The 18,464-nt window shown below is 40.9% G+C and overlaps 1 protein-coding gene across 8 annotated transcripts in view, besides 1 other annotated feature; it reads left to right on the top strand.

Annotated features, from left to right (window-relative positions):
• Positions 190-419: an enhancer, noted in NCBI's record as "active region_3589". NCBI's record gives its function as "activates an Ori minimal core promoter by ATAC-STARR-seq in GM12878 lymphoblastoid cells {active_cell/tissue: GM12878}" and the evidence as "EXISTENCE:reporter gene assay evidence [ECO:0000049][PMID:35858748]".
• AP3M1 (adaptor related protein complex 3 subunit mu 1) overlaps positions 343-18,464 on the top strand; it is a 30,574-nt gene continuing 12,452 nt past the window's right edge. For 2 of the 8 annotated variants that reach the window (NM_207012.4, XM_047425054.1), the window contains exons 1-5: positions 343-416; positions 12,240-12,365; positions 12,789-13,064; positions 14,368-14,539; positions 17,007-17,144. In NM_207012.4, coding sequence (NP_996895.1) covers positions 12,792-13,064; positions 14,368-14,539; positions 17,007-17,144 — 583 coding nt within the window. In that variant the 5' untranslated portion in view covers positions 343-416; positions 12,240-12,365; positions 12,789-12,791. Of the gene's footprint in view, positions 837-12,239; positions 12,366-12,788; positions 13,065-14,367; positions 14,540-17,006; positions 17,145-18,464 lie in introns of all 8 variants that reach the window. The other 6 variants (NR_135191.2, NM_012095.6, NM_001320263.2 and 3 more) reach the window with 5 other exon arrangements.

Raw genomic sequence — 18,464 nt, 5'->3', positions numbered from 1 at the left:
CAGACTCCGCCCATTCTGTGCCGCTGTCATCCACAATCATTGGCTCTATCCGTCGGCACCAACAGCGAATGCCCCGCCCATTCCTGACCCCGCCTCCCCTACCATGAGGGACCCCAGACTGCGTTAGGCAGCAGATGACCGCCTGAATCTAGATGGAGAGAAACCCACCATTTTTCTAGGCCCTGGATTATGTAGAAGATTTAGATACTAAGCCTCAAGAGACGTCTTTCCTCTCATTTACGGTCTTCCTGCATATTTAAAATTTCTAATACGGTAGACAGAGTCGGTGTCTTTGAAGCTGTTAATCAGGCAATTTCCTGGGCACTCCAGCTGCGGGTCCTCGCGGCCTTCTCGGCTTCTCCAGCTTCGGTAGGAGAGGATCCGGCGCCGAATCACTGACTGGCACAGGTGTTGGGGTGAGTGTGAGGGGCGGGAAATCTGTGGACTGGGGACAGCTCCAAAACCCGGGAGTAGGCTGAATAGCTGGGGCCCCCGACTCCGATCTGGGCTCTAGGAGCGTCTTTGGTGCTGTTGGCCCGGGCCTCGCTTCCCCCCCACTCCCGGCCTTCCGGGCTTTCTCGCCAGCAAGGCCAGAAGGGAGCGGTCCACCTGCAGCCCAGTGTTCTCAGGCGCCTGAGCCCCGGAGGTCAAGCTTACTGGGTTCCCCCTCTATAGTGAGCTGGAGTACAGACGGCAGGAATCTCAGTCCCAGGTTTCTGCTTTGGAGGACAAAACCCCAAACGGACCTGAGCAGACGTCCTGTTAGCGGGTGGTGCCTGGAAGAGCCTGGGGTGAGGAATGCAGTGAGAAGGGTGTTGCAGTTCTTCAGGAGAGAGGTAACGGGGTTCTAAGCTGAGCAGGTGGCAGTGAGTGTGGAAGAGTGACGGGCGATGTGGCTGTTTGTATTTGGTAGATTTGTTTGAACCTGAAACTTACAGCCTTATGTGTGATTAAGAAGATGGTGCCAGTGACAGGAGGAGGTATTTTATGGAGTTTGAGTTTTATCGAATTTGAAACAGTGGTTTACATGGAGATTGTAGAAAGACTTTAAAAAAAATTATGAGAATTAAGCCCGAAAGACTTTCAAGGTGAGACCCAAAACAGATGAAGTTTCATATAAAAGGGTAAGAAGTATTTTTGTTTAGGAGAAAGTTATCAATGACATAAAATGCTGCAATGGTCAGAGGAGGAAGCTGAAATCAGAATAGGTCGTTGGATTTTATAATTAGAAAGTCATTGAGCTGTTTGAGAGAGATGCTTTAATAGTAACTGAGGAAAGACTGCAAGTGTAGACCAATCCTTCATCATTTGGGGCATGAAGCAAGATTATTGAGAGTGGCAAGGTGGGGGAAAGTTTGGGGTTTGTTTTAAAGAATACAAGATATCTATTTGGGGGCAGGAAGCAAGCAACTATTTGAAGATTCAAGAAAAAGTCTTGTCTCCCAGAAGAGAAGGAAAGGAATGGGATCAAGTTACAAGTGAAAGGATTAATTTGGGAAAGACAGAGGGACACTTTCAATTGACACTATAGGAGAAGTGAAGTGAATGAGGTTAATGAAGAATTATCTTAATTTACGAATCTTGGCCAGGCGCGGTGGCTCACGCCTGTAATCTCAGCACTTTGGCAGGCTGAAGCGGGCGGATCACAAAGTCAGGAGTTCGAGACCAACCTGGCCAACATAGTGAAACCCTGTCTCTACTAAAAATACAAAAATTAGCCAGGTGTGGTGGCACACGCCTGTAGTCCCAGCTACTTGGTAGGCTGAGGCAGGAGAATCCCTTGAACCCGGGAGGCGGAAGTTGCAGTAAGCTGAGACCTCACCACTGCACTCCACCCTGAGCGACAGAGCGAGACTCTGCCTCGAAAAAAAAAAAAAAAAAAAAAAAAAAAAAAAAAAAAAAACCTTACGTATCTTTAGGAAAGCTCTCTTTGCAACAAGATTATATTTTCTTACTTAATCTTATGATTTTTATTTCTAACCATTTAATATAATATACGGCCAGGCACGGTAGGGCTCATGCCTGTAATCCCAGCACTTTGAGAGGCTGAGGTGGGTGGATCACGAGGTCAAGAGATCGAGACCATCCTGGCAAATATGGAGAAACCCCGTCACTACTAAAAATATAAAAATTATCTGGGCGTGGTGGCACGTGCCTGTAGTCCCAGCTACTCGGGAGGTTGAGGCAGGAGAATCGCTTGAACCCAGGAAGCGGAGGTTGTGGTAAGCTGAGATTGCGCCACTGCACTCCAGCCTGGCAATAGAGTAAGACTCCGTCTCAAAAAAAAAAAAAACAAACCAATATACTATGGGCAGATGGAGTGCGGTGGCTCACGCCTGTAATCCTAGCACTTTGGGTGGGTGAGGCGGGAAAATCACTTGAGGCCAGGAGCTGGAAATCAGCCTGGGCAACATAGCGAGACTCCATCTCTACAAAAAATTTAAACATTAGCCAGGCTTTGTGGCATGTGGTTGTAGTCCTAGCTACTCAGGAGGTAGAGGCAGAATGAGGCAGAAGGATCACTTGAGCCCAGGAGTTCAAAGTTACAGTGAGCTATGATTGGTCCACTGCACTTCAGCCTGGGCAACAAAACAAGACCCTATCTCTTAAAAAAAAATACATATACACATACGCTATGGGAGTTCTTTGCAGATTTAAATATTTTTAAGTAGCTCAGTACTGTGTCAATTCATGAGTAGCACATGGTATTTACAGAGAAGAGGACTTCTCTCTCCCTTTGGAAATGACCTCTCTCCCATTACACAGAGAAGGAGAGCCATCATCTGCCTGCAGTCAAGTATACAAACCTTCCCTTCAATCTGAAGAGTAGAAAGTGTTCCTTCTCCTTAGAGAAGGCAAACCCTTTGACCTAGTCTCTCAGTAGCATCCTCTCCTGCTATGTCAGGGTCCTCTTTCCGTTTTTCCCTCTCTCCTATGTCAGCTTTTCCCCCTCTATTCACACCTTTCCTTCAGCATTTGAATGTATTCTTCCTTCACTTTATGAACTGCTGCATTTATTTTCCTGTCTTTTCATCCTCTTCACAGCTAGACTTCTTGAATCTACTCTACATATCTCTATTTTTTTACACTTCTTGCTATTTATTTCCCAGCCCACTGCAATGTCTTATTTCTAGCATTCCACTGAACTACCACCAAAACTATTTTTTTTTTCTGAGATGGAGTCTTGCTCTTGTCGCCCAGGCTGGAGTGCAATGGCAATCTCGGCTCACTGCAACCTCCGCCTCCAGAGTTCAAGTGATTCTTCCGCCTCAGCCTCCCGAGTAGCTGGGATTACAGGCGCCTACCACCATGCCCAGCTAACTTTTGTATTTTTAGTAGAGACAGGGTTTCGCCATGTTGGCCAGGCTGGTCTCGAACTCCTGACCTCGTGATCTGCCCGCCTCAGCCTCCCAAAGTGCTGGGATTACAGGTGTGAGCCACCGCACCCAGCCCACCAAAACTACCTTTACCAAGATCACCAGTGTCCTCTGTGTGTTAAATCATGCATTCTCAAAGCAGATAAAAACTGCTTCTTGTGAGGTGAAAAAAATATAATACTCTTTTTATGTGTAAAGCACAAATACAATACATAAACAGAGAATATTCTGTGGTATTAAAATTTTATGGTGATATTAATTAGCTTCATTTAATTATTCCACATTTCATAAATCATAACATCTGGTACCCCTAAATATATACAACTATAATTTGTCAATTTACAGTTGAAAAAGAAAGAATAATAAAAAGTTTTATGGGTGAGGAATTTGATTGGCAGGGTGGTGAGAAGATGGAGTCTAAAAGGGCTCCTTAGCAGGCATTAAGGAAAAGAAAGTTTAAAAAACACTCTTAAATCAACAGACATTTTCAATTCTTTTTTGTTGTTGTTGAGATGGAGTCTCGCTCTGTCATCCAGGCTAGAGTGCAGTGGCGCCATCTCGGCTCACTGCAGCCTCCACCTCCCGGGTTCAAGCGATTCTCCTGCCTCAGCCTCCAGAGCAGCCGGGATTACAGGCACCCACCACCACACCCAGCTAATTTGTTGGTATTTTTAGTGGAGATGGGATTTCACCATGTTGGCCAGGCTGGTCTCGAACTCCCGAGCTCAGGTGATACTCCCACTTTGGCCTCCCAAAGTGCTGGGATTATAGGTGTGAGCACCACGCCCAGCTGACATTTTCAATTCTCGTAGCTTAACCTCTTTGTGCCATGTAACAGTATTTACCACTCCATTCTTCTGGAAATACACTAATAAGCTATAGTTACTAAAAACCACCCTGTTTTTTTTTTTTTCTTAGGACTCTTCAGTCACATCTTGGTCATTCTTTAGGTCCACTTCCTTGACCCACCTCCTACTCAAATGTTGGAGTTCCTGCCATAAGCTCTCTTCATACTATGCACATTCTTTCTTTTGTTTCAATTCTCCTTTTGATTAATTCCCATTAACAAAAAATCCTGATTACTTACAATTCTGATTCCAATCTGGCTTCTCTAAAGCACCAGAAGGGTATATATAATAGTTTTTTGAATATATTTATTTGGGTCAGATGTATCCAGAATTGGTCAAATTACACAGGACCAGGCCAAGTGACACATCTCTCTCATCTCCACACACCCCCTCCTCCAAGCCTAAATGTTTTTTAGCACAAAACCTAAATGTTTCTCTTATCTTTTCACTGTACCCCATCCTCATAGTCAAGACTCTAGACCAGGCCATCACCACTCATCTCCCAACTGGTGTCACAGTGTTCAGTTACCGATTATCCAGTTTCCGCAGTGTAATTAGTATGATCTTTCTAAAAATGTAAATCGGATTGCATGATTAATTAAAAAAATTATAAAATGACTTTACATTGCACTAAGAATAAAGTCCAAACTCCTTAACAAGTTTAGCATGCTCCATGAACCAATCAGTCTCTGCTTACCTCCTTGTCCAGTTTCATCTCCCCTCTTCCCTCCACCTTCCATATTTGCTAAATTTATACTGGATTTATTTGTCTTGTGTTCTCTCTCACCTCTAAGCCTTGTAGATTCCCACAGCACACTATATTTCCTGTATCATCGTAGGAATTACATCTTAACTGTATTAAGTTGTCTTCTCTGCTCATCTCTAAATGCTGTGAGTATAGGAACTCTAATTTTGTTTGTTCTTATATACCCAGTGCCTCAAAACTCTGTGTTGAATGAATATGTGGTCAAGATATTGGCTGAGAATCAGAAGAGTAGATGCTTTTCTGGTCTCATTCTCTCAAGTTCAGTATAGGCCCTTCTGTGCCTCCATCATATTATATATAGAAGGAATACATTTTTGTTTTTAGACACTGTCTTCCAAGAATATTTTGACTATTGTAAATGCATTGCTTGTGAATTACCCAGGATGATTATAAAATGTTTAGTAAAAAGGATTTATGATGTATTTAAGCTGCAGTCAAAGCTCTGGTGGGTCTGCCTCTGAACACAGTTTCTTCTAGTGGCTTTTAAATAAGCTGGGAGAATTCTGTTTTATGACTCAAAAGCCACTAGGAACAAAAAGATGGTTGTGGTAATAATGAGTGTGTAGTTTTCTCAGAAAGTTTATGAAAATAATAATTAAAAAAATAACTGCAGCTACCAAAAGGACGATAAATAAAGAAACAGGCTAATTTACACTGCAACATGGTATTATTTAATTGTTATATGCATTAGACCTTGGTCATAATATGGATAGAAGAAGTAAGCTCTCTTTTCCTATTATAGAAGGTTAAGATGGGTTTTAAAGCTAAGCACAGTCGAGAACTTACAAGTGTTATGCTTTCATCTCAGCACTAAGGATAACAACAATAAATCTAGGAGGCTGGTTTAACTTTCTGTATTCTGAGACCTGAACTACTGCCAATAAAAACAACTTCGGTGGAAACTTTCCTGGAAAGAATTTTTCACCAGCTTAAGAGGATGAGTAGAGATCTGGCCCTAAAATAAAGTAACTACAAAATCACTTACTTTCAAAACAAGCAACTCTTTCAGAGTGTATTGTGGCAAAGGAGCACTATAAATCCTTGTGAACTATATTTTCGATAGGATGAATGATTTTAGATAACCTGTGTCGGTGCTTTTAAATATAACTTCCACTCTAAATAATTTATTAAACTTCCTCAGCATAACAACTAGAATGTCTTTTGCCTCCTAACTAAACAAGAAATGTCTTTTACCTCCTCCTCTTAAATCATAAGCTAGGCTGGGTGCAGTGGCTCATGCCTGTAATCTCAGCACTTTGGGAGGCTGAGGCGGGCGGATCACGAGGTCAGGAGTTCGAGACCAGCCTGGCCAACATGGTGAAACCCCATCTCTACTAAAAATACAAAAAATTAGCTGGGCATGGTGGCGCATGCCTGTAATCCTAGCTACTCGGGAGGCTGAGGCAGGAGAATCGCTTGAACCCAGCAGGCGGAGGTTGTGGTAAGAGGAAATCGTGCCATTGCACTCCAGCCTGGGCAATAGAGCAAGACTCCGTCTCAAAAAAAAAAAAAAATCATAAGCTAAAGCAGCACATTCATGCACTGTTCAATATATTAACTACTAACCATATATGGTTATTTAAATTTAAATTAATTAAAATTAAAACTTCAGGCTAGGCTTGGTGGCTCACACCTGTAATCCCAGAACTTTGGGAGATCAAGGTGGGAAGATCACTTGAGCCCAGGAGTCCAGGATCAGCCTGGGCAATATAGGCAGACTTTGTCTCTACAAAACAAAAATTTGAAACTCAGCTGTGTGTGGTGATGCACGCCTGTAAGCCCAGCTACTCAGGAGACTGAAGTGGGAGGATCGCTTGGGCTCTGGAGGTGGGCGTTGGAGTGAGCCAAGATGACGCAGCTGCACTCCAGCCTGGGCAACAGAGCGAGACCCTATCTCAAAAAAAAAATAAAAATAAAAAAGCCGGGCATGGTGGCTCACGCCTGTAATCCCAGCACTTTGGGAGGCCGAGGCGGGTGGATCATGAGGTCCGGAGATCGAGACCATCCTGGCTAACATGGTGAAACCCCATCTCTACTAAAAATACAAAAAATTAGCCAGGCGTGGTGGCGGGCTCCTGTAGTCCCAGCTACTCGGGAGGCTGAGGCAGGAGAATGGTGTGAACCTGGGAGGCGGAGCTTGCAGTGAGCAGAGATCACGCCATTGCGCTCCTGTCTGGGAGACAGAGCAAGACTCCGTCTCAAAAAAAAATTAATTAAAATTTCAAAAAAATTAAAACTTCAGTATTGGGTACATTAGCCACATTTCAAGTGCTCAATAGCCATGGGTGTAGTGGCTACCATATTAGCACAGATAAAGGACATTTCCATCATTGCAGAAAGCCCTGTTGGACAGTGCTGTATTAGAACGTGTTCCTAATAATTAGTCTCTACAAGGCAGATAAGAGCAGGAGCTCAGAATTCAGCTGGATTTAGGTTTGAATCCTAGCTTACTGCGTGATCTTAGGTAATTGACCTAACTTTTCTGAGATGACATTGTCTTATCTGTAAAATGGGGATAATAGTAGTATTTATGGTGTAGCATTGTGAAAATAAGATGAGATAAAGTGTCTAGCATAGTGTCTGGCCCATAATAAGTACTCAATACATTTTAGATAGTATTAATTCATTTATTATTCATTATCTTTAATGAATAAAACACTTTGAATGGGGACTGAGTACAGTAGCTTCACTTTGGGAGGCGAAGGCAGGCGGATCACTTGAGGCCAACATGGTGAAACCCCATTTCTACTAAAAACAGAAAAACTAGCTGGGCATGGTGGTGCACACCTGTAATCCCAGCTACTGAGGAGGCTGAGGCACGAGAATTGCTTGCCCATGGGAGACGGAGGTTGCAGTCAGCAGAGATCACACCACTGCACTCCAGCCTGGGTGACAGTGGGAGACTCTGCTCAAACAAACAAACAAGCTTTGTTCCCAAGTAGCTGGGATTACAGGCGCACGCCACCATGCCCGGCTAATTTTTGTATTTTTAGTAGAGACAGGGTTTTGCCATGCTGGCCAGGATGGCCTTGAACTCCTGACCTCAGGTAATCCACCAGTCTTGGCCTCCCAAAGTGCTGGGATTACAGGCGTGAGCCACTGTGCCTGGCCAAAAATAACCACATTGAATGGGGCCAAAAGATTAATTTTTGCAAAGAATGCTGTGTTCCATATGTGACTCACCTGAAGTGCCCAAATCTGAGTCTGCTTGTGGATTACAGTGCTCCACTTGAAGTCATACATTATATATTTCAGATGCTGATTTTCTTCCAAGAAAAAGGTGTAATAATAAAAATTTAGTTGCAGATCTTATGGTTGGATATTCCTGTTTCATTTAAAAAATGAAAATGAAAAGTTTATCAGCTAAAGATTATAGTTAAAATCAGCAGGTTCTATATAGCAAGTCTAAGTATTCTAATGGCACTTATATTAATACCCAGACAGAAATATAAGACACAAAGCAAGCCTACTAAGCAAAGCATCTGACTAGATAAAGTAGAAAAATTTGGCAGGTTCCAACCCTGAGGTGTCAGAGTTTATTGCTAATAACTCAAGTTGATTTCTTGGCTAAACAGAGGGCTTTAAACAAAGAAATTTTTTGGTTCTAATTAAACAGGAACCCTAAACTGTTAACAGTATTCATACTTTATTAATACAATAATTACTAAAACATATCTTAGTAACTAGTATTATTGATAACTACTGAACATGTGTCGAATGGGAAGAGGAGATCATCACCACATATTCTTTAAATGTCAGCCGCTTTCATAAAAGAAAGGGTTGATGTTGTTTTCTGTCAACAGAATCAAATGAATCAATTCTGGAAAGTCTTCCTTTCCTCTTTGGAATTTATCTTCATTCATAGAAACTGTATTCATAGGTCTTAAATTCTTTCTTCTTAGACTATAGTACTATTACTTGGAATGATTGAGCCACTAGACTAAACACCTGATACTGGTGCTTATACACGTAAAAGATAGGAACAAGGTAAGATAATTAGACATTTTTCCATTGTCCCCCATATTGCAGGGACAATAAACTTCTTATAGGAAGCATAACTAACACTCAGAAAGTATGCAAATCACAATGTAAAGCCTAATGAGTTATCATAGAAGGAACACAGCTTGTAAACATCATGCAGGTCAAGAAATAAAACATTGGCCAGGTGCGGTGTCTCACTCCTGTAATCCTAGCACTTTGGGAGGCTGAGGCAGGCGGATCACGAGGTCAGGAGTTCAAGACCAGCCTGGCCAACATAGTGAAACCTCGTCTCTATTAAAAATACAAAAAAAAAAAAAAACTAGCCAGGTGTGGCGGTGTGTGCCTGTAATCCCAGCTACTAGGGAGGCTGAGGCAGGAGAATCTCGTGAACTTGGGAGGCAGAGGTTTCAGTGAGCCGAGATAACACCATTGCACTCCAGCCTGGGCGACAGTGTAAGACTCCATCTCAAAAAAAAAAAAAAAAGGAAAATAAAAAAGAAATAAAACATTACCAGCACTCTAGGAGATCATCCCCATGGCCCTCCACTCTCCATAAAGGAAACCATTTGATTTAACGTAGATTAGTTTTGCCTGTTCTACAACTTCATATAAATGGAATCATACTGTGTATATTCTTTTGCATCTGGCTTCATTTATTCAACATCGTATTTGTAAGATTCGTTTGTATGTATATATTCTTTGAGTAAATGTCTTTTCAAATCCTTTGCCCATTTTTTAATTGGCTTGTTTATTTATTTATTTTTTATGTTTTAGAGGCAAGGTCTCCCTCTGTCACCCAGGCTAGGGTGCAGTGGTGGGATCATAGTTGACTGCAGCCTCAAACTCCTGGACTCAGGCAATCCTCCCACCTCAGCCTCCCAAGTAGCAGGGACTACAGGTATGAGCCACTATGCCTGGCTAGTTTTTAAATTTTTTTATAGAGACGGGGTCTCAAACTCCTGGGCTCAAGCAATCCTCCCTCCTCAGCCTCCCAGAGTGCTAGGATTACAGTTGTGAGTCACCACACCTGGCCCTTCTTATTATTGAGTAAAAGTTCTTTATATTTTCCGGATAGGGGTCCCTTTAAGATATATGGTTTCAAATATTTACTATCATTTTGTGAATTTTTGCTTTCTTGATAATGTCCTTTGAAGCACTAAGTTTTAAATTTGATGGACTCTGGGTTATCTATTTTTTATTTTTCTTGTCTGTACTTTTGGTATCGTATCTTAAAAAACATTGTCTAATCCAGAGTCAAAATCTATGCATATTTTTTCTAAGAGTTTTATCATTTTGGCTTTTCCAATTAGGTCTTTGATACATTTTGTGTTGCTTTTTGTATCCAATTTCATTCTTTTGTATGTGGAAATCCAGTTGTTCCAGTACCATTTGTTGAAAAGGTTGTTCTCTCTCCAACTGGTCACCCAGGTCTTGGCACCCTTGTTGAAAATCAGTTGACCATAAATGTAAGGGTTAATGTTCTATTGATCTGTAGGTCTGTCCTTGTGCCAATACCACATAGTAGTTTTGTAGTAAGTTTTGAAATCAGGAAGCACGAGTTATCCATCTTCGTTGTTCCTTTTTTTTTTTAATTCAAATATATATATTTTTTCAATCTTTTTAATTCTACATATTTTTGTAAGCATCCCCCCAATTCTTGTTTCATAGTAAATCAGACTGTAGATGAAGCATTTCAGACCTTTTGTCAATCATGTCAAGTGTGAGGGGAAGTCTTTTGTAAGTCAGCCAAGTATTTCAAAATGAAAAGCTTTTCCAAAAGTAAAGGCAGAAGACCCCGCTTTGAAGGCGCTGGTCGGCACAGAAGGGCTTGCAAAGGTATGTAGGGAAGTCCACCGGTTACAGGTGTAAGGTGAGTTTAACCTACGGCGACCAGCTGGCCAGGAGCGCCCCAAGGCAGACGAGGACGTGGGGCTTGGGCGCACGGCCGCCTGCAGCCATCTCGCCCCAGATCCTGGCTCAGGAAACGCAGGCTCGGGCTGGGGTGGATGTGTGCGCCCCAGGGCCCTGGCACCCGGGGGACCGAGGGCTCCTCCCAGGTCCTTGGAACAGCAGAGTGGCTCCCAGGAAGGATGCTCAGCTGCAGGTGGGGGTCCCTGCTCCCAAGCACCCTGGCCAGGGAGGAATGGCGCACCCCACCCCGTTCGCCCCTGTTGTTCCTTTTCAAGATTGTTTTGGCTGTTGATCTTTTTCAATTCCTTATGAATTTAGGATTAGCCTGTCAAATTCCACGAAAAGGCAGCTGGGATTTTTTTTTTTTTTTTTTTGAGATGGAGTCTCAATCTGTCACCCAGGCTGGAGTACAGTGGTGCAATCTTGAGTCTCGGCTCACTGCAACCTCCGCCTCCCGGGTTCAAGCGATTCTTCTGCCTCAGCCTCCTGAGTAGCTGGGACTACAGGTGCGTGCCACCACGCCTGGCTAATTTTAGTAGGGACGGGGTTTCACCGTCTTAGCCAGGATGGTCTCGATCTCCTGACCTCGTGATCCACCCACCTCGGCCTCCCAAAGTGTTGGGATTACAGGCGTGAGCCACCGCGCCTGGCCTTTTTTTTTTTTTTTTAGTAGAGACAGAGTTTCTGCACGTTGGCCAGGCTGGTCTTGAACTCCCGACCTCAGGTGATCCACCTGCCTCGGCCTCCCCAAGTGCTGGGATTATAGGCATGAGCCACCACGCCCGGCCTGAAATTGTTTTATTTCATTTTCAGTTTTGTTTTGTTTTTTTTTTTTTAATAGAGATGAGGTCTCACTATGTTGCATAGGCTGGTCTTAAACTCCTGAGCTCAAGCAATCCTCCTTCCTCAGCCTCCCACAGTGCTGGGTTTATAGGCATGAGTTACAATGCCTAGCCCATTTTTAGTATTTTATAGCTATAGTGGATAGAAATATAATTGATTTTTATATTGACTTGTGTCCTGCAAGCTTGCTGAACTAAATTTATTAGCTCTAATAGGTTTTTTTTTGTGTGTGTGTGGATTCCTTAGGATTTTCTATATATAAGATTGTATCTTCTACAGATACAGTTTTACTTCTTCCTTTCCAATTTGGAAGCCTTTTGTTTTATTTTCTTGCTTAATTGCCCTGGTTCAAACCTCTAGTACCATGTTGAATAGAAATGATGGGACTGGGCATCCTTGTTAGGTTTTGTTATTAAGGAGAAAGTGTTCGGTCTTTCACCTTTAAATATAATATTAGCTGTGGGGTTTTCATCAGGTTAAGGAAATTTTTTTTTTTTTTTTTTTTTTTTTTAGATAGTGTCTCACTTGGTCACCCAGGCTGGAGTGCAGTGGCGCAATCTTAGCTCTCTACAGCGTCGATCTTCCTCCTGGGCTCAAGCAATTCTCCTGCTTCATCCTCCTGAGTACCTAGGACTACAGGCAAGTGCCACCATGCTTGGCTAATTTTTGTATTTTTTGTAAAGATGATGTTTTGCCCTGTTGCCCAGGCTGGTCTCAAACTCCTGAGCTCAAGCAATCCGCCCACCTCAGCCTCCCAAAGTGCTGAGATTACAGGCATGTGCCACTGAGCCTGGCTGAGGAAGTTTCTTTTTGTTCTTAAATGGCTTTCTTTTTTTTTTTTTTTTTTCGTAAAAGGATGTTGGATTTTGTCAAATGCAATTTCTGCACCTTTTGAAATGATTGTTTTAGTTCTTATTGTATATCATGTTGATTGATTTTTGTATGTTGAACCAGCCTTGCATTCTTAGAATAAATCCCACTTGGTCAAGGTGTATAATCTTTTTGTGTATGTTAAATGATATTTAATGTATAATAAATTTAAACCTTTCTTTGCCCCAACAGAAAATGATCCACAGTCTATTTCTCATAAACTGTTCCGGTGACATATTTCTAGAGAAGCACTGGAAGAGCGTTGTGAGCCAGTCTGTCTGTGATTATTTCTTTGAAGCTCAAGAGAAAGCTGCTGATGTTGAAAATGTACCACCTGTCATTTCAACACCTCACCACTACCTCATCAGTATCTACCGGGATAAGCTCTTCTTTGTATCTGTCATACAGACCGAAGTGCCACCTCTCTTTGTAATTGAGTTCCTACATCGAGTTGCTGACACTTTTCAGGTTGGTTATCTATCATACCTTTCTAAGTTAAATGACCCAAGTTAGCTGAAGGTGAGACATGATTATATTATTTAATTACCCAGGTTTTGATGTTTACTGTCTGTCTCTCTCTGTTTAAGCGTAAATTCATAAGCCCTTTTCTGTGTGGTATACAGTTACACACATGGCTGCTCTATTCACTATTTTTTATATGTATTACAGATTACAGTTGGCTCTCCATATACATGGGTTCTGCATCCATAAAGTCACCCAACCTTACATGGCAAATATTTGAACAAAAAAATCGAACTGAACATGTACAAACTTCTTCTCATTATTACTTGAACAATACAGTATAACAAATAGTTACATAGCATTTACACTGTGTTAGATATTACAAGTAATCTAGAGGTGATTTAAAGTATATAGGAGGATGTGTATAAGTTATGTGCAAATACTATGCCATTTTATGTCAGCGACTTGAGAATTGTGAACTTTGGTATCTACAGGGGATCCTGGAACTAATTCCCACAAATACCAAGGGATGACTGTATATCATCAGGAAACAATAATGCCCTCCGCATACAGTTCTCTCAATGGTCTCAAGATTTTCATTGGTTATGAACTCTTCTATATTTACATTTTATTATTTTGTCTTGCGGAATATACCAAATAATTTAAGCTTATCTATATGTATTTTGGGATAATCAGGGTGAATGAAGTTTATAGCTCAAATTCCAATTTAATGTTTCAATACTTTCTGGTATAATATGTAATAGGAATTAAATTCAACCTAGAAATATCAAGAAAATATTGAGGAATAATATTAGGACTATAGAGGGGTTTTTTTTGTTTGCTTGTTTTGTTTTGTTTTGTTTTGTTTTGTTTGAGACGGAGTCTCACTCTGTTCCCTAGGCTGGAGTGCAGTAGCATGATCTTGGCTCACCGCAACCTCCGCCTCCCGGGTTCAAGCAATCCTCCCGCCTCAGCCTCCCAAGTAGCTGGGACCACAGGTGTGCACCATCACACTCAGCTAATTTTTGTATTTTTAGTAGAGACAGGGTTTCACCATGTTGGCCAGGCTGGTCTTGAATTCCTGACCTCAAGTGATGCATCCGCCTCAGCCTCCCAAATTGCTGGGATTACAGGCATGGGCCACCATGCCCGGACTATAGAGGGTTTTTTCCCCCGCTCTGTTTTATATATGTTCAGCAGCTTAAGCAATGAATTATGCTACTCTAAGTTTATTCTTCAGAACAAAAAGTATTTAGCAGGCCTTTCTTTTTGCCTTCCATTGTGTGATATTTTGTGTGTATTTTGTCAGGACTACTTTGGTGAGTGTTCAGAGGCTGCAATTAAGGATAATGTGGTCATAGTATATGAACTCTTAGAAGAAATGTTAGACAATGGATTTCCACTGGCTACCGAATCTAACATTTTGAAAGAATTGATTAAACCACCAACAATTCTACGCTCTGTTGTCAACTCTATTACAGGTAAGATGAAAACATACTGTGCTAGTAACTGAGCAATTAAAACTTTGTAAACAACTCATTATTGCTCATGATCTGACATATTATTAAGGTAGTACAATTTGGCCATAATTAAAGTTACTGGTAAAGTTAAAATGGATGTACTATATATTTATTTTCATGGAAAGAGGCTAGACCTTAAGTGATAAAGAACTTTTGGTTATTACTCTTTTTTTTTTTCTAAAACACCACAACAATATTATTACCATTATTTAACACTAAATACTAAGACTGAATAAATTGTTCCAGTTATTCCTAAAGAAGCCAGTATATGAGCCCACTTAGAAGAGAATTTAGTCCATTTATAGACTGGCATTTTAATATTTAAAATAGCATTACATAACTGGTATGCTGCTACTCCACAATTACTAGAGAATAGAAAATTTAAGACGCTTAACCACACAGTACTACAATCTCCTCCAAGTCTTTGTTTTTATGCATTCAGAAGATGTATTAAGAAAAAATAGGAAATAGTTTACTTATGAGATCTCATGCATTGTGGGCCTGTACTTGTGTTGTAAGCTTCCAGCTGGGTTTAATTCTTGAGTGTAGCTAGAAATTAGGCACATCCAGATACCAATATTCTTTCGAAAGCATTAAAGTCTTTTAGACAAAGATTCCTATGAAATGTTATATGCCACTCCAACTCCACTGTCAACCATTGTAAACCCCTGTCCAGTGCCTTGACCTAAAAATGAGGTGAGAGAGGCCTATAAGAAAAAGATCATTCAGCAGCTCTTTATTCATCCTTTGTGTAAGGACGAATGTTAGGAGAAATTCAAAGAAAGATAAGATGGTGTGTCTGTACTCCTAAAACTTATACTCTGAATGGGACATTGGAAAAAAAATTAAGTAAATAACTGTATAAGACTTTAAAAAGCAATTCCATACTTCACAGATAAAGTAATAGCATTGGAAAATAAATACACATGATGTAACGTTAAATTGAAAAGTCAGCACAAAACTGAAAAAAATTATTCTTATATATAAATATTCACTCCGACAAAAAAGTATTTACAATGATTATACCCAGCTAAATACAGATTATATTTATTTTTGCTTTATACTTTCTAATTTTCCAAAATAAACATGTATTTTATAGTCAGAGAAAAGTTACTAAAATATATAATGCAAAACATAACAGATTCATTAGATAGTGTATTACAAAGTTCAAGAGAATGGTTCCATTAATGAAGTAATCCCTCCTGAACTGTGGTGGGTGGCCACCTTGGAAAATCAGTAGAATTCAGGAAGTGAGGAAGGAATAAGAGCATTCTCCATGGTGGAACTGTATGAGAAAAAAACACACATGAAAGAGAAAAACCTAAAGTTTTATTAATCCCTTTAGCAGAAGCAGAACTGTTTTTCACTTGAGAAGTTAGAGATCAAATTAAAAAGTAGAGAAAGTCCTTCAAAGCTAGGATAAATATTTAGCTTTTATCATAAAGCCAGTGAGCAAACATTGAACGTTTTTGAGCAGGAAGATAACATGATTATAGGTTGCAGGTAGGAACACCAATCATAAGTAGACTGCAAAATTGTAGATACAGTATGATTGCGACTATATTTTAAAGTGCAATTAAAAACCAAAATTATCAAAATAGAAAAAAATGCAACCTTCTGGTGGTGGAAATATTCAAAGAAATATACCAAAATGTTAATATTATATTAAAATGTTAATACCATAATATTAACAAAAATGTTAATGGTAGATATATTTTGTTAGTAAGAAGACAGGTGTTTTTCTTTAAACCACTTCTCTGAACTCTACCTTTTTGTTGTTGTTAAGTATGTAGTACTTTCGAATGGGAAATATAAATTAACCAAAATATTAAGTAAGTCACAGCTCAAAGATATGTGTTTTGGACAACCAGACTTATTTTTAGGCATGTGTCAGTTTACCAGGAAATGAGCTGGATACTGAATACTAGCTATATTGCAGCCGTATGGGTATGCTGACCTTAAAATAGGAAAAGGCCAGATTCCATTTACTCCACTGAGGCGTGCTTGGCAGCATCTCATGTAAAATAAAGTTGAATACTGAAGGGCCTAGTTATAACTCTGTATTCTCACTGGAGACATTTTATTGGCAGAAGGTTTTGAAACAACCAACCTCTTTTTTCATCAGTGGCAGAGATTCTGTTGTTGAGCCACTGGAATTAGATTAGATTACTGTTAACACACAGGAGGCAAAAGATAAGTAAATAAATTTAACCTGGTTTGGCAGGTAGACAGAGGGCCACATGGCCTATATTTCTTTTCTAGAAATTTGATCATGTTGGTATGGATATGTCTGACAATTCTAGTGACCATCCACAACTTCATTAAGAAAAATCCAAACATTGAAGAAGCAGCTTTTTTTTTCCTAGTAATAAATTTTCTCATGACTGTTTTATACATCAGCTTTGCCTTCTCCTTTTTTGGTTTCTAGGCAGTAGTAATGTTGGGGACACACTCCCCACCGGGCAGCTGTCCAACATACCATGGCGTCGGGCAGGGGTAAAGTACACAAACAATGAAGCCTATTTTGATGTTGTTGAAGAAATAGACGCAATTATAGATAAATCAGGTAATTGTGTGCATGTCATCTTATTTGGGGAAAAACAATTCATCTGACACAGATGAATAGAAAACTGAAGTCCTGGCCGGGCGCGGTGGCTCACGCCTGTAATCCCAGCCCTTTGGGAGGCCAAGGCAGGCGGAACATGAGGTCAGAGTTCGAGACCAGCCTGGCCAACATGGTGAAACTCTGTCTCTACTAAAGATACAAAAAATTAGCCGGGCATGGTGGCGCGCACCTGTAATCCCAGCTACTCGGGAGGCTGAGGCAGGAAAATTGCTTGAACCCAGGAGGCAGAGGTTGCAATGAGACAAGATCATGCCATTGCACTCCAGCCTGGCTCTGTCTCAACAAAAAAAAAAAAAAGAAGAAGAAAGGAAAAGAAAATTGAAGTCCTTTGGCAGTATGGTTTCGGTGGAAAGGCATTCATTATCTGATGATTTTTAAATCTGTTTGTTTATTTATTTATTTATTTGAGACGGGGTCTCACACTGTTGTCCAGGCTGGAGTGCAATCACATGATCTTGGCTCACTGGAACCTTCACCTCCTGGATTCAAGCGATCCTGCTGCTTCAGCTTCCCAAGTAGCTGGGATTACAGGCATGAGCCACCACACCTGGCTAAATTTTTTTTTTTTTTTTGAGACGCAGTTTCACTCTTATTGCCCAGGGTGGAGTGCAATGGTGCAATCTCAGCTCACCGCAACCTCCGCCTCCCGGGTTCAAGCAGTTCTTCTGCCTCAGCCTCCCGAGTACCTGGGATTACAGGCATGCACCAGCATGCCCAGCTAATTTTGTGTTTTTGGTGGAGATGGGATTTCTCCACGTTGGTCAGGCTGGTCTCGAACTCCTGAACTTAGGTGATCTGCCCGTTTCGGCCTCCCAAAGTGTTAGGATTACAGGCGTGAGCCACCGCTCCCGGCCCTGGCTAATTTTTTGTATTTTTAGTAGAGACGGGGTTTCACAATGTTGGCCAGGCTGGTCTCAAGCTCCTAACCTCAAGTGATCCACCTGCCTTGGCCTCCCAAAGGGCTGGGATTACAGGCGTGAGCCACTGCACCTGGCCCATAAATCTGTTTATTTTGCCCATAGGTTACATATAATTTTCATAACCACTAGTTGAGGTCTGCCAAACATGTAAATCAGAACTCATAATGCCTTACTTTAAGCCAATTATTACCCTATGTACCTCTACCTCTTGCTATTTATTCCTTCTAACATTTATTGAAAATCTGCTATATACCATGCTTTTGCTACTACATTATGTGCAGTACTTCTGGTAAAAGCCCCTATCTGATTATTTTTCACTTTCTTTTTTTTTTTTAAGTAC

Source organism: Homo sapiens, chromosome 10 (assembly GCF_000001405.40).
Source record: "Homo sapiens chromosome 10, GRCh38.p14 Primary Assembly".
NCBI classification, from domain to species: Eukaryota; Metazoa; Chordata; class Mammalia; order Primates; family Hominidae; genus Homo; species Homo sapiens.
The sequence above is the reverse complement of the archived record's forward strand: the minus strand, read 5'-3'. Positions and strand labels throughout refer to the sequence as shown.